Source organism: Homo sapiens, chromosome 8, assembly GCF_000001405.40.
Source record: "Homo sapiens chromosome 8, GRCh38.p14 Primary Assembly".
In the NCBI taxonomy this organism is placed as follows: Eukaryota; Metazoa; Chordata; class Mammalia; order Primates; family Hominidae; genus Homo; species Homo sapiens.
Window position 1 is genome coordinate 5,890,677 of NC_000008.11, and position 16,083 is coordinate 5,906,759.

Below are 16,083 nucleotides of genomic sequence, written 5' to 3' on the forward strand. Positions count from 1 at the left end.
GTGGCTCACGCCTGTAGTCCCAGCACTTTGGGAGGCCGAGGCGGGTGGATCATGAGGTCAGGAGATCGAGACCATCCTGGCTAACACGGTGAAACCCCGTCTCTACTAAAAATACAAAAAATTAGCCGGGCGCAGTGGCGGGCGCCTGTAGTCCCAGCTACTGGGGAGGCTGAGGCAGGAGAATGGCGTGAACCCGGGAAGCGGAGCTTGCAGTGAGCCGAGATTGCGCCACTGCAGTCCGCAGTCCGGCCTGGGCGACAGAGCGAGACTCCGTCTCAAAAAAAAAAAAAAAAAAAAAAAAAAAAAAAAAAATGGAGATAATAATCCTTATCTGATGGAGTTTTAATTATCATGGAATGATTTCAAATCTCTGTGTGTTTACTGTACTTAGCAGACTACTTATTTCTGTTTTCATGTCTCCTCTAGCTGTGACTTTTTTTTTCACCATGGAAGCAAAAATGCTCATTCTGCTTTTGGTTTTGTTTTGTTTTACTTTACTTTTTTTTTTTTTTTTTTTATAAACAACAGCATTTTTCTAGGCACATTTTCCTTAATTTTCAAATAAATGACAACCAGTCATTAAAATAACTTCAATCTTCTTATTAAACTGAAAAACAGATTTAATCTTGTTATAGAATACTTTCAAATATAACTCATCATCATCTTCATCACCATCCTCATCCTTTTAATGTATAATGAGTTACTATTGAGTAGCAGTCTCACAACATCACTCATTTGATCTGTCAAAAATGCTGGAGTTAAGCAAGGCATCTATTACTGTTCTTATTTCACAGATAAATTCATGCAGAGAGCACTTGAAGTCACTTATAAGTGTAGATGATGGAAAGTTAGTATGCTCACATTTTTATACTTCAAGTTTAGTACTTGGTTTCAATCAAAAACAACCTTTAGAAACAAGAAATAGTAACAGTGTACAGATTTACAAAGGAAATGTGAACAGAAAATATCAAATAATCGTTTTCAAACACTGGATATTACGCCGTAACGAACAGTGATTACCAAGCCAAGAAAACTAAGATGAGCCCTGTGATTTTCTCAATTTACTTATTTGAGTTTCCAGACTGCAATTCAGGTAGGGGAAACTAAAGCTGAGTCTGGCAGAGTTTCTGAGTTGAGGAGATGTTGCTGAGTTTCAAGGGAGACCAAGTTGAATAGAATTTGCAGGATGAATTTCTGAGAGGAGAGGCACAGGGAAATAACTCCAGATCTCGTGGGAAGGTCCACCCTGAGTAGGCAGCAGAGTAGTGATCAGTGCATGAACTTTAGGAAACCACACCAACCAGGGGAAGGCACTACCCAAAAACGTTAAAAGTAACATTGCCAAAAAGAATACTCACTACTGTTAGATGTTCACATTTCCCTACTTGTTCTAAAGTGATCTAAAGAATAAACAGTCAAAACCCAACCACCAAATTAAAAAAAAAATCTTAAAATAGCTAAAACGCCTGTAGAAAATAAAGACAAATTTGAAGGACAAAAATTACCTAATATAAATGATTATTATAAACTAAAGTAATAAAAAGTGTGATATGAGCATAAATAGAGACAAACTGATGAATAGGGAGTAGAGAAAAATATACCTGAGTTTTGACAAAGGTAAAAACCAAATTAGAAAGGATAGTGTTTTCAATAAAGGATGCAGCAGTAATTGGCTACCTGTATGCAAAATAGTAAATTTTGATGAGAATGTCACACCACAAAAATAATTAAGAATTGACCATAAGCCTTAATGTCAAACCTTAAAATATGCAACTTTTAGAATAACATATAGAGAAAATCTTTGTGAACTTACGTTAGGCAAATATTTGATATATTATACCCCAAATAATTTATTTTCAGTTGGCCTTCATGAAAATTAAATTGTTTAATAATCATAAGACATTGTTATAAATGTTAAATCTCAAAGCAGAGATTGGAAAAATATTTTCAAATTACATGTCTGATAAAATTTTTATCTAGAGTATATGAAGAACTCTCAAAGCACAATAAGGAAACACCCAATTTTATAAAAGGCCAAAAATATGAACACATCTGTCATCAATGAACACATATGGATGACAAAAACATGTTGATACTTTTCAGGTTTAGGAACACATGAAAATGGAGAGATGGGTTGCTTTGCATTGGAGAGTATAAATGAAAAGAGCCCTGAGCGTTTTCCTTAAGATCATGAACAAGATAAGGATGCCCACTCTCACCACTTGTGCTCAACACAATACCAGAAGTCCTAGCTACAGAAATCAGGAAAGAAAAAGGAAAAGATATCTACATAGGAAGGGAAGATGTGAAATTATGTTTACGGATTATATGACTTCATATATAAAATTGCTAAAAACTCCACCAAAAAAGGTTAGAATTAATGAAAACAATCGAGTTTGGCCACAGGTTACGAAATCAACATATAAAATCAATAGTGTTTCTGCACATGATGAACTATCCACAAAAGGAAATTAAGAAAACCATCCCACTTACAAAAGCATCAAAAAGAAAATAGGAATATATCTTACCAAAGATATAAAAGACCTGTATAGTGAACACAATAAAACATTAGTTAAAAAAAATGAAGAAGGCTAAATAAATGGAAAGATATCCTATCTACATGGATTGGAAGAATTAATATTGTTACAATGTCTCTGCTACCCAAATCAATCTACAGATTCAATATAATTTATATGAAAATTACAATGTCCTGTTTCACAGAAATAGAAAAATCCTAAAATTCATCTAGAACCAGAAAAGACCCCAAATCATCAAAGCAACCTTGAGCTAAAATAACAAAGCTGAAGACATCACACTCCCTAATCTCAAAATATTTTCTAAAGCTACTGTAAAGAAAACAGCATGATACTGTCATAAACACATAAAAGAAAATTGGCACAATATAGCACAAAAATAAAATAAATTGAAGAAATTGAATGAATTATAAAAAACTTACCCATAAAGAAATTGTCAATCCCTGGTGGTTCCACTGGTGAATTCTATTACACATTCAAGGAAGAAGTAACTTTTTCATATACACTCTTTCACAAAATGTTCTATTTTGTTGGAATATGCCCCAACTTGTTTTATGCGGCTACCAGTACCCTGATATCAAAAAAAGACAAACACATTAGAAAGATGTGGGAAATAATGTTACATATCAGTGTCCATTGGGTTTATAGAAGTAAAAATCTGTCATAAATATAAGTAAATAGAATACAATTTATAAAGTAGATAATACAAACAATAGGATTTTTTTTCTAGCAATCTGAGCTTGCTTGACAGTAAACCATCAATCAAGCTGACTTCCACATTCAGCCAATATAAAACAACACAGACTCTATTTATCCAGCAGCCATAGTAAACCAGGAAATTCTACAGAATACTGCAGATATTGACAAAAGAAGGGACTCTAATCTTGGAGGGAAGGAAACTAGACAAGGTGAATCACATTTCTACCGATTTACTGTCTGTGAGGCATTTTCCAGATTACAGTGCACACAGAAAAACACACAGTCAAGTAGTTTCCATGAGTTGAGGAGGCTTTTACTGAAGTTTGAGAAGAGGGGAAAGAGCTAGGATTTGCAGAAAAAAAGCACAGAAGAGCAGAGAATTCTCAGAGAAAACTCTGGATATGCACAGATGGTTCTCTTGAGTCTTTGGCTGAGTACTGATGTGCACACAGAAGGAGAAAATATCTTAAATGTGGAAAGAACCATAAAAAAGGATTAGGTTGAACAAGCTCTAGAACTCACATGGGACTCCAACCATAGTGGAGGACTTGGTAACATACTGAGTAGAGTCTTTACAATACATGAGAAGAGTTCCTCAGAGTGATATTTATTGCCTTTCCAGAGACATAAATTCACCCTAGACTGAAGGCTTCTCTGTCCCTACCCCATGAAAGCTTAAAAACAAGTCTTAAAAGGATTCTAAGTAAATTAAATGCATGCCAAAACAAACTCCAACAGTATATTAGTAAAACATAACTATAACAATGTAAACTTCTCCAGACCTAGCAGTCAATCAAAATTTACAAGACATTCAAAGATGCAGAATCATATAACTCATACAAAGTAGTGATGTCAGTCTATACAGAGAGACCCATAAATGGCAGGGATGATAGAGCAGCAGTGGACAAAAACAAGCAATTAGAAATAGGCTCCATGTGTTCAAGAAGCTTGAGAAAAATATGAATATAATGAAGAAGCAAATAAAAAAACTAAAAGAACTGAATAGAACTTTTCGATAAGAAAAAATACAGTAGCAGAAGTGAAAAAACATACTGAGTGGCATGGACAGCAGATCAGATCCTCCAGAAGAAATAACCAGTAAACTAGAAGACATAGCAATAGAAACTATGCAAAGTAAAGTTCAGGAAAAAAAGGTAAACACGTCATCAGTCACTTGTGGGTCAATAGCATATAGTCCAATATACATATAATTGAAAGAGAAGACACAAGGAGAATTTTGAAAAATAATACCATTTTTTCCAATTTGACTAAAACTATCAATCCAAAATTCTGGAAGCTCACCAAATCCCAAGCGGAATAAGCGTAAGAAAAAAAAATCCAAGGCAATCATAATTATATTGCAGAAAACCAGTGATAAAGAGAAAAACTCTAAAAGCATTCATCAAGATTGGTGGATGGTGGGTGTATTACATATTAAATAGAAAAAGCAAAATTAAATGTGAGCGATCACTCATCAGAAGCCACAAGCCTTGCAGTCAAGGGTAAAACAGTGTAAAAGAAAAGTAACTGCTAAGTTAGAGTTCTTTGCAAATTATCTTTCAAAATGAAAGCAAAATAGTGTTTTCATACCCCCAAAAAGCCTCAATAATTAATCACCAACATATCTGCACTGACATAGGGGTAAAATAAAGTTCTTCAGACAAGAAGAAAATCATATATACACACAGGCACACTTATATCACAGGGTGTTTAATATATATTTATATCCGTATCCATATATACATATAACATTCTTTTCATTTTCTGTGTCTTTAGAGGATAAATAAGATTTCTAGCTATTACAGCGTGAAGAGATTGGTGAGTATCCTCCAACCATAGACACACACACACACTTTATAGCATTTTCAGAAACACCACATTCCAGGTTCTAGAAATTGATAAAAGGCAAATTGAGAAGTTTTTATTCAGGAGCCAGTAGAGCTTTGGTTAAGAAAAGCAGACGTCTGGGGGCTTCTTGCCTGGGGCTTCTCTCATTTCCCCAAATTTAGTTGAAGAGAATGGTACTTTATCAGGCAGAGCTGATGACAAAGACGAGAGGAAGCAAACTTTACTTGAGGTGGTTAGTGAAGACCCACAGCATCATCAGTAAAATTATCAAATTCTGTGAGTAATGCATGCGGAAAACGTGCAGCTCTGCTAGCCTAATTTCTATTTTAGTTGCAACAGTGAAGGACAGCCAGAAATTTAACAGGAAGAGCTTGGACATCAGAGAGCCATCGAAGCTCTCCACAAACCCCTAGCTGTGTGGGAAACAATTTGCCTATTGCAGGAGAGAACTGAGAATTTCCAGTGGAAAGTAAAAGCTGAGAAAAACTTTGACAACATGTAATGTGCTCCCCCACCCACTTCTCTCTCACACATACATATCCATCTGCAGAGACTGGAAATGTATGGCCTTGTGATGTTCAAGCACAAGCTCTGCCAGAATCATTAGCTCACCACTAAGTTACACTGTCACAGGGTCCAGCCGTAGATAGACTAAAAAATAAAAATAAGAATTCAAAAACAGCATAGACTTCAGCAACTGTAAACAACATGGAAGACAGAGTCTTAAGTCCAAGTATATTAAACAAAAATGTAAAGAGAAAAATTCTGAAGTCAGAGCTGCTGCAGTATAATAACTAAAATAGCCAGTTCTCAGAGAATTACAAAGTGTGCACAGAAACAGAAAACATAACCAAGAATGCAAAATTAGGAAAAAAAAAAGTCAACAGAAATTAACTCAGAATGGGCCCAGATGTTGGATTGAGCAGATAATGGTTTAAAGCAACTATACAAATATGTTCAAATAATGGATGAGGATGTTTAAATAATTACAAGAAAATGTGCAATAATGATTCAACAAAAAGAGAAAAAAATAAGAACCTATCAAATCTATGGAAATAGTAGCATTGAATACTTTTTAAAAGGTGAGAATTTTACTTGAACTCAATAGATTTGAGATGAGAGAATAAAAGATAAATGAACTTGAAGGCAGATCAGGATAAATCATTCAACTGAAAAATGAAAAAAGAAAATGAATATAGCCTCACAGCTGCATGGTTAAACACAAAGCACATCAAGGAATGTCAAGCATACATGTGATAAAGCCAGGTGGGAAAAGGGGTAGAAAAAATATTTGAAGAAATAATGGCTGAAAACTTCCCAAATTAGATGGTAGACATTAATGTACATGTCTAAAAAACTCAACACACTCCAAGTAGCATCAACAGAGATTCACACACATGAACTTCACAGTCAAACTGCCAAAAGCCAACGACATGATAAAACATTGAAAGCATCAAGATAAAAACTACTTACTGTATAAAAGGGAACAAAAATATGACTAATGGCTGACTTTTCATTAGGAATAGCGTAGGCAGGAATGCTATGGAAAGACATAATCAAAGCACTGAGAGAAAAAAAACTGTGCACCAAAAAGTTCATATACAGCAAGACCATCCTTCAAAGTGAAAGTGAAACCTGCTTGCTGGCCAAGATGAAGTAATAACAGAATGGATTTACAATCTACTCTAAATAATTAATTTCAAACGGATCTAATGTATGAAGTAATATTTTCAAGACCCTGGGCATCAGGGAACAGAGGACAAGGATTCTGCAGAGATTGCAAATGATGCACATATGCCCTATGATTGCCCCAGCTTAATGCCTGGAGTTAGATTCCAGGCTGCGGCACAGAGGAGGGACCCCCAGGCAGAACCTGGTGGTCTCTGTGGGAGTTCAGAGAGGGTAAGGAATCTGGAGTGTTGAGGGGAGACCACCAGAGAGGAGCAAGCCACGGGGAGAGATACCCAGAGATCTGAAGAGAGTCTTGAGGCTTAAGATGAGTTCTTATTAGCCCAGGCATCTAAACAAACTATAGGAAGCCAAGAAAATAATCTCCCAAAAGGATCAAAGGAAACACTCCCCTTAGCTCATGTAGAGTCAGGAATAATTCCTGCTTCCACAGTCACAGCCGAAAACATCATAATTCACAGCACATCAGGAACAGTAATCAGAACGGTTTTGCCTTAGTAATCAGGCAAAATTAGGCATAAAGCAAATGCTGCTCTGCTGATTCCCAGCAAAGCTTAAAGCGACACCCAAAAGTATAAAAAGCTTTCCAAGTAATTTAACTGTATCCCAAGAATAAAGCTAAGAGCATTTATAGGAATACTTAAACATCCAGCACCTCAAAAGGTAAAATGCACAACTGGCTTACAAGTTAAAAACTACTAGGCACACATAGAAGCCAAAAAACATAACCAATAATGAAAAGTCAATAAATTAAAATCAGCTGAGACATGACACATTAATAAATTTTTATAACCGTATTCCATGTGTTCAAGAAGCTAGAGGGATGGCCGAACAGGATAAATAGAGATGAGAGATAGTAAACAATCAATCAATCAAACTTCTAGAGATGAAAACAGTAACACTGAGTAGAAAAACACAGGGAATGGAATTACAGCTTAGATTGCAGAATGAAAGATTAAGGAACTTGTAAACATTGTAATAAAAGCTGTTTAGTGAAACAGAAAAGAGACTAAAGAATAAAAGTGTTTGTGAGAAATGAGATAAAGAGCTTAATATATGTTTAATTGCTGTTTCTGAAGGAAAATAGAAGGGATGGCAGAAATCATATCTGAAGAATTATTAGCTAAAAATTTTTCAAATTAGATGAAAACTAGAAACTTTCAGATCCAAGAAGGCCAAGGAACTCCAAGCACAAAAAATATGAATAAAATCCAATTAAAATCAAATTGCTTTAAAACAGTGATGAAAAGAATCTCTTAAAATCCACCAAGGAAATAAGGCATAGGAGAAAAAACAAAGATGACTTCATATTTCTCCTTAGAAACCATGTAAACAACAAAGCAATATGTTTAATGTGTTGGAAGTAAAAAAAAATTCATAGAATTATATATTCAGAATAAAAATTTATATGAGTGTAATAAAAAGTATAAAGTAAAAATTAATAATCTATAAAATTAGAAGGTGAAATAAAAGCTGGTTCTTTAGTAGAAGCAGTAAAATCAGTAAACCTCCACATAAAACTTATCAAAAAAGAGAAAACAAGAAATTTTAATTTTAGGAAAGCGAACATTACTATATATTTTGTAGATAAAGAACAGTAATAAAATATTACAAGAAAGTATGACAATAAAATTGAAACATAGATGGAATGCACTAAATTCTTGAAAGACACAAACTTTCAAAACTCACATGACAAGAAAAATATATAAATTGTTCTATCTCTAATAAAGTGAATTGTTAAAAACCTGTTCAGAAAGAAGACTCCATGTCTGTAAATTTCACCCAGCATTCAAAAAAGAAATGTTAATTCTAACAAAAAAAGATTACCAGAGCTAATAAATAAATGGGTTCCTCAAAGTTGCAGGATAAAAGATCAGCATATAAAATTTAGTTTTATGTGCTAACAATAAGGAATTAGAAATTAAAATGTAAAAATCAATACAATTTACAATAACATCAAATATTAAATGTTGAGGATAAATCTGACGAAAGATTTATTTGCTAAAGTCTATAAGACACTGCTGACAGAAATTAAAGAATATCTAATAAAATGGAGATACACATCATATTCATGGCTCAAAAACCTCAATGTTGCTAGGATGTTGTCTTAGTCAGTTCTGGTTACCATAATAAAATACCACAGACCTGGTGTCTTAAACAGAAGAGATTTATTACCTCACAGCTTTGGAGGCTTGAAGTCTGACATCAGGGTGCCAGCACTGGTTCCTGGTGAAGGCTTTTTTCCCTGCCTTACAGACACAGCCTCCTTCACGCTGGGTCTCCACCTGTAAAGAGAGAAACCATAAGCTATTTGGGATCTTTTGTCCTAAGAAAACTAATCCCATCGTGTGGGCCTCACCCTCATGACCTTCTCCGTACCTAATTAACTCCCAAAAGCCCTATCTCCAAATATCATCACACTGCGAATTAGGGCTTCAACAAGTAAATTTTGGAGGAACACTGAATATGTCTATTCAGTCCATAATCGACATGAATTTTTATCAGATATGGAAGTTCAACACAATTGAAATCAAAATCTCAATGGGTTTTGTGTAAAAATTGACTATTGTATAATGAAATTCACAGTGAAATGCAAAGAATGTAGAAGAGCCAATAAATTATTTAGAAGAAGTAGGACAAAGTTGGAAAATGTACATTTCTGACTTCAAGTATTATAAAGCTACAGTAATAAGACTGGACAGTATTCAATTGGTCAATTGAATAGACCAATGAAACAGAACAGAGGGTTCAAATTAGACTGACATATACTCAGCTGCTTTTCAACAAAAGTGCAAAGGCAATAGTCCTTTCAACAAATGATCCTGGAATTATTGAGTATTCATATGCCAAAAAAAGAGCTTAGATCTGTATAACATGCAAATAAAAAAATTAACTCAGAGACACGGCATAGTGGCTGATGCCTGTAATCTCAGCACTTTGAGAGGCCAAGGCGGGAGGATCACTTGAGGTCAGGAGTTCGAGACCACACTGGCTAAGATGGTGAAACTCCGTCTGTAATAAAAATAAAAATTAGCCAGGCGTGCTGGCAGGCGCCCACCTACTTGGGAGGCTGAGTCGGTAGAATCACTTGAACCCAGGAGGCCGAGGTTGCCATGAGCTGAAATCGCACCACTGTACTCCCGCCTGGGGGACAGTGAGACTGTCTCAAACAAACAAACAAACAAACAAACAAACCAAAAACACCAAAAAAGCCCTCAAAATGAATCATAAACCCAAGTGAAACCTAAAAGGATAACATTCCTTAGAAGAAAGCATGGAAGAACATACTTGTGGGTTAGGGGTAAGAATAAATTTCTTACATGGTATATAGAAAGCATAAATCATAAAATAAAATATGGGCAACTTGAACTTTACCAAATTTTTAAAATTTTTCTCCTTAAATGATTCCATTTTGAATATGAAAAAGCTAGCTACAGAATGGGAAAAAATACTCTTACAACTCAATAAAACATCGCAGACAACACAGTCAAAACGAGGCAATATTTGAACCAGTACGTGAGACGTAAACCATATGAATGGTCAATGAGAATGAGCACATAAACATGCTCTCCATTGTGATTTGTTGGTGTATACAAATCTCAAAATTCAAAAATGAATAGTTTTTTGTTACCTCAAGGAAGTTGATTTGGAGAGAAATTACGTATCAAAACGTGGCCTAGATTTTTACAGAACAAATTGAAGATGTCTATCCACAGAGAGAAATAATCTACAGAAACAAAGACTACAGATTCATAGCCCCTAGCACCCCTACAGAGGTGCATTATAATTAAAAGATATGTAATATAATGTTTATATGTATTAAAAAAAACTTTAAAAGTAAATTAAGTATTATGATAACCAAAATAGTAAAGATCTTAGAAAACACAAGTATAAATACAGGTAAAATCACAATGGAGAGGTGGAACAGTAGACAAGGTGACAGTAGAATTAGAAGCTAAATCAGAAGCAACACAGAATGCAGCCCACAGAGAAAATGAGATATTAAGAATTTAGATGAGAAGTAAAGAGAATGAAAGGGCATGGGAAAGAGGGCAAACTAAGCTGGATGGATTATGAAAGTGCCAATGGCATGGGAAGAAGCAAAATTCAAAGAAATAATGAACCGAGAAGACAAAAGGAAATACAAAGGAAAATACGATCTCAAATTGTGCTAAGTTACAGAACACCAGACACAAAGTGAAAACATTAAAAGGATTACCTACAAAGGAAGAGCAAAATTACCTACCAGGGAAGGACAATTACCTACAAGGGAAAGGAACCAAACGGTAGGCTTTTCAAGACGAACGCTACAAACCAGAAAAAAGTAAAATGATACAGTGAAAGTGTGGAAAGAATTTACTAAGAAGAATCCTAATAATCTTCACATAGCAGATAAGGGCATCTTCAGGCCAAAAGAAAATTGAGAAAACTTCACTAAAGGAAATTCTAAAGAATGTACATGAGAAAGAAGCAAAGTGCTCCCAAAGGAAGATCTAGACTACAAAAAGAAAAGTCAAGGAAAGAAAATGTGAGGCTGCTGGGATGTTAGGACTTTCTTTATCTTAATATTTCCCAATTGCTCCCTGTATCGTCTTTATGTTAGTAATTTTTTAAGAGCAGAGTTATCCAGAGCCATTTATTATAGGAGCAAATACGACTGAGCCCACAGTAAGCCCAGGGAGCATGGCTGTATCACAGCCCTGCTGCAGGATGGATGGTATAATCATCATCTAATTGTAAAACGATGAAAGCACAGGGGCCTTAGAGAACACCCTGCACGGCCTTCTCACTTTTTAATGAGGAAAGGAAAGGTCTTATTATAATGTGTTTTTTTTTAAAAAGGTAGAAACATTTGTAATATATTTTAGGAAAATTTCCATCCAAAAAGGTTGAGCACCTTTAAAAGGTTTAATACTTTAAGGGTAAACTGTAACAATATGAAAAGTTAACTTGAGTGAAACAGTCCACTGTCTGCTATTTCCATATATGTACAGAAATTAATTGCTTCTAATTGTTTAATAGAAAAGTTTGAATGATTGAAAAAACATTACTTCAAATACATAACATGGGGATAGAAAGTCTTCCATTCTGAAGATGAGCTTACAAAAAGCAAGAAATGGCTTCTTACTAAGTTTTGTCTTTTCACCCTGTCTGTACTGGGTCCCCTACCCAATACATTGTATATAGTAAAAGTTTAATAAACGAACTGAAAGATAATTCACTGAAACTATTGAAGTTTGCAGACAGGCGCAATAGAATGCAGACAAATTCAATTCTTGATGATTAAATTTTCTTATTGCTGATGAGTTTAGAAAGAGGAAGGGACTAATAATGAAGATCCAACAGGTATCCAGGGGAATAAGAATCCTCTAATTGCCATCAGCCTCAGTAGAGGTTGGAGCTATAAGGATCAGTGCAATAAAAGAGGAAAAGAGGAGAGAGAGAGAGACAAGGAACAGGGGAAAGAGAGAGAGAGTGAAGACTCCATGTTCAAAAAGAATAAAGACAATGAGTTTTATGTCATATGCTCTCTAAATAGAAATATTTAGAGTATTTTAGGCTGTGATCTATTGTGTCACTGGAGTTTGCCAAACAAGATGAAAAAAGAGAAAAGAAATAGGATGGAGAGAGAAGAGGAAAAAAGTCTTATAAAGTATTTCTTGTTCAAAGTTCCCAATTAGAAAACAGTCACACTCATACACTGAATATGTTTGTTATGCACGACAGTGCTGTACATAATAACAAAAGATTGGTTGCAACCCCTCAATAGAGGGCTAGCTACATAAACTATACAGATACTGTACAGTTAAAAAGACAATCAGGAAAGCCTTTGTGTCCCAATAAGGAAACTGAACAAAGCAAGGGGTGGAAGAATACAGATATCATCCTGTCATGCATGTACGAAATGAAGAAAAGAGACCATGCCTTGTTTTATCGTTTTGATGTTTAAACATCTGAGTGCACCACCTATTTAAAACAACAGGTCTCTCTCTGTCACACACAAACGTTCCTAATTTAAAAGTATACTTCCCTGATTATTGCATTTCCTTTGTGTATGTTCCATTCTTCACATTTCGATATGAATTAACCCACATATACAAGAAAACATTATAGTTTTAAGGCCATAGATCTAGCAAATATCAAACAGAGAACAGTAGGAAAGAAGTAATAACACGGTGAACATTTCCTGCTTGCATTTGGGTGGTGCAGTGGTGTATATGAGTCTGTACATACATAAAACAGAATTAACATTGTCTCCAGCTCTCCTCCTCTCTGGCCCACCACAGAGAGACTGTCTTTGCTGCCTGGTGTGAAAAATACATAGAGGAAATACCAAAGACAGTGACAGACCAGGTTGATTTACTTTGCAAAGAGCACAGACTTGTTGGGGGAAGGTGTATAATTCATGCCGAAGTTGAAGAGACCAATGAGAAAGAAAGGAAGAAAGACAGGTTGTTGATTGCATGCAGAGAAATATTTGAAGGATTGCTGCCATGAATGCTGTTTTTCTTTTCTTTCTTTTTTGGTTGACAAATCGGTGGTTGAGTATTTTACTATTTTTTTCTTCTTTTTTAACTGTTTATTGCATAGAAACAAACTCTAAGGAGTAGATGTATAGACACATATACATACACATTCACAAAGCACTTTCACATAATATTTTCTAATTTTATCATTGTAACAAACTTTTAAAAAGCACCCATTTTTAAGATAAGAAAACAGGATCAAAGTAGTTAAGTGACTTTCTCACTGTGCCGCAGATAATATTGGGAAAAGACAATTTACTCATTTAATAAATATATATATTGTAATATACTTATTACTTATATATTTACTAATATATAAACAAATACACATTACTAACATACTTATTCTATTTATTGTATTAATGTATTAGTAATATATGTATTTATTACTAATAAATATGGTAACCATATTTATTAAATATTAAACATATTTGGTATATTAGTAAAATGGTATACCAAATTGGCCATGGTAGGCGACTTCTCTCTCTCTCTCCTCATGGGGGAGAGAGCTCACTCTGGGCCACGTTCTTTCGTTTGCTCTGAGAGACAAAGATAAACAGGAATGCGGCCTGCCTTCGAGGAGCTCACATTCTAGCAGAGAAAGACAAGAGTCCAGCCCACATGTGCTGCGGAAGAAGCATGGGTGGCACAGGAAGGCGCAGGGGCACGCTGCTCGGTGCTGCCTGATGGCTGGGGCATGGCTTTATGGACAAGGTCACCTGGAGCTGGCCTGGAAATCATGCAGGCCCTCCGAGGTACATGAGACAGATGTGAAGAGTATCTCTGCCAGAGGAGCTTTGCAAGTATAAAACACCTGGATGCTTTAAATGGATTGTATGTACCTGGTTCAAAAAGAGAAGCGATAAGAGAGGGTGCTCTTAGGGCCGTGAGGAGGCAGTGCAGAGACTCAAAAACACGTTTCTCTCTCGCCAAATCCCATCTCTGACCGCGATGACAGCATCATTCAAACTTTAGTGTGCCTAATATCACCTGGGGCGCTCTTCTCAGGGACCACACTTAGCACAGTGTCTGGGCTGAGGGTGGATGCTCTGTGACCTATGAGAACAAAAGGGAACAGAGAACAGAGGCAAGTCTGCCGGCCCTGGCTTGGCCACCATCCAGCCCCTTTACATCTGTAGACCTCCATTCCTTTTCAGCATTTCCAACGTGAGGGTGTTGCACCCAGCAAATTGCTTCCAAATCTTGATTTTTCTATTTGTGTTTTTGTTTTTAGTTTTTCCAGGGGAATTGTTAGTGTTGTTCAGAAACTTCATGCAACAGGAATATATGAATAGCTAATGGTTGAATTATTCTGAAGGGAGTAGGAGAGGAAATTCTAGAACTTCTCACAGCCCCCACTCCCTCCTGAGGCATCACCTGAAGCCCTCAGGAAGGTCCCCGAGCTCTTTTGTGTGGATCTAATGCCCACCCACACCTAAAAGAACCAACGCGGCGCCACGGAGGAGACGTGGAGCGCTGCGAATGTCTCGGCAGCGGGGATGAGAATGCGTTTAAGAACAGGGCAACAGTATGTAAGCTCATTGAAATGAGGGTGGTTAGACATTTCTCCATAAACCGTGATGGGACACTATTCAGGCAGAGTGGATGGTGTCTGAAAGTGTAAATGCAAAAATTTTCCCCACAGGACGACACAGCTAGCCCTATAACTGAAATGAAGTAATTCTGCCAGACCAGAGTTCTCCATGAGGTCGGGCACTGTATTTTGCTCAGCACTGCAACCCCGTTACATAGTACAGCGTTCCGCATTTTGTAGTTGCTTAATGACTGTCTTTTGAGTGACAAGATGTGATGAAAAGGAAATCAAAATCAAATATATTCAATTAAAATATACAAAAGAGAAAAAGTAGAAAGTCCAAGTCCTTTATATCACACAACCACCCTTCCCAAGTGGGAAGAAATGAGTCCAGGAAGATAATAAACAGTAAGCAAATAAAGCTAGTATACTTCCTACCCAAGAGTCTGTCAGGCTGTTCAAGAGCCTGGGGTGAAGGTAGATTAGACTGTGCCTCACGCAAGTTATGAGAACATATTCCAGGTAAATGCCAGAAGAAGCGCATAGCATGTCCACATGTCGAATTCACACGCATCTGTAAGTGACAGTGCTGATAAACGATTAAGTCTGTAACCTGTTTCATACTTTCTCATTGAAAATGATGAATTAAGAAATGAAAGCAGCTGAGACATAGTTGGAATTACTTGGTACCTAAGCCGCATAGTTTAGGATTGGTATTTACTTTGACCTACAAGGGAAGCCTTGACTATACATATTCACTAACATATCTCCTTCAGAGGCTCAGATATAGATCCTAATTTTTTGGAGGTAGTAGGTAAAATTTCATTCGGCCGTTCCTAAAAAAATGTAAAGACCCTATACAAAGGAGAACATGACTTACAACACCCACAACAGGGAGACTTGAGATCGTAAAGGGGCTACGAGAATGTATTCATGAGAAATAGTATTGAAATGCAAATCAAGCTCCCCTAGTAGCTAATCTAATTCATCACCTGCCATGGTTATGATTTAGGAAACAGCTACAGGTGGCTAAAGAGCATTGACTTGCACCAACAGATGACAAGGCATTGATGCCTAAAAGTCGGGATAAAGCTCACAAATCAATACGTTGTGATTCCTTCTTAAATGTGTAATTCTCAAAGGAGAAGAGTTTATGTTGATGATAAAATAACTATTAAAACAGTGAATTGTGAGCCATCCACTTCTGACATGCTCATGTTATATTGGCCACGGTTACCATGCAGCTAGCACA

General features: G+C 36.1%; 1 long non-coding RNA gene across 6 annotated transcripts in view; it reads right to left on the reverse strand.

Moving 5' to 3' along the window:
• The window catches only part of LOC105377795 (uncharacterized), a 145,951-nt gene that overhangs the window by 32,401 nt on the left and 97,467 nt on the right, over positions 1–16,083 (reverse strand). For 5 of the 6 annotated variants that reach the window (XR_941375.2, XR_941374.2, XR_001745767.1 and 2 more), the window contains 2 exons: positions 8,946–9,055; positions 2,957–3,105 (listed from right to left, as the gene is read on the reverse strand). This is a non-coding gene — a long non-coding RNA (uncharacterized LOC105377795). Of the gene's footprint in view, positions 1–1,046; positions 1,247–2,956; positions 3,106–8,945; positions 9,056–16,083 lie in introns of those variants that run through there. The other variant, XR_001745768.1, reaches the window with a different exon arrangement.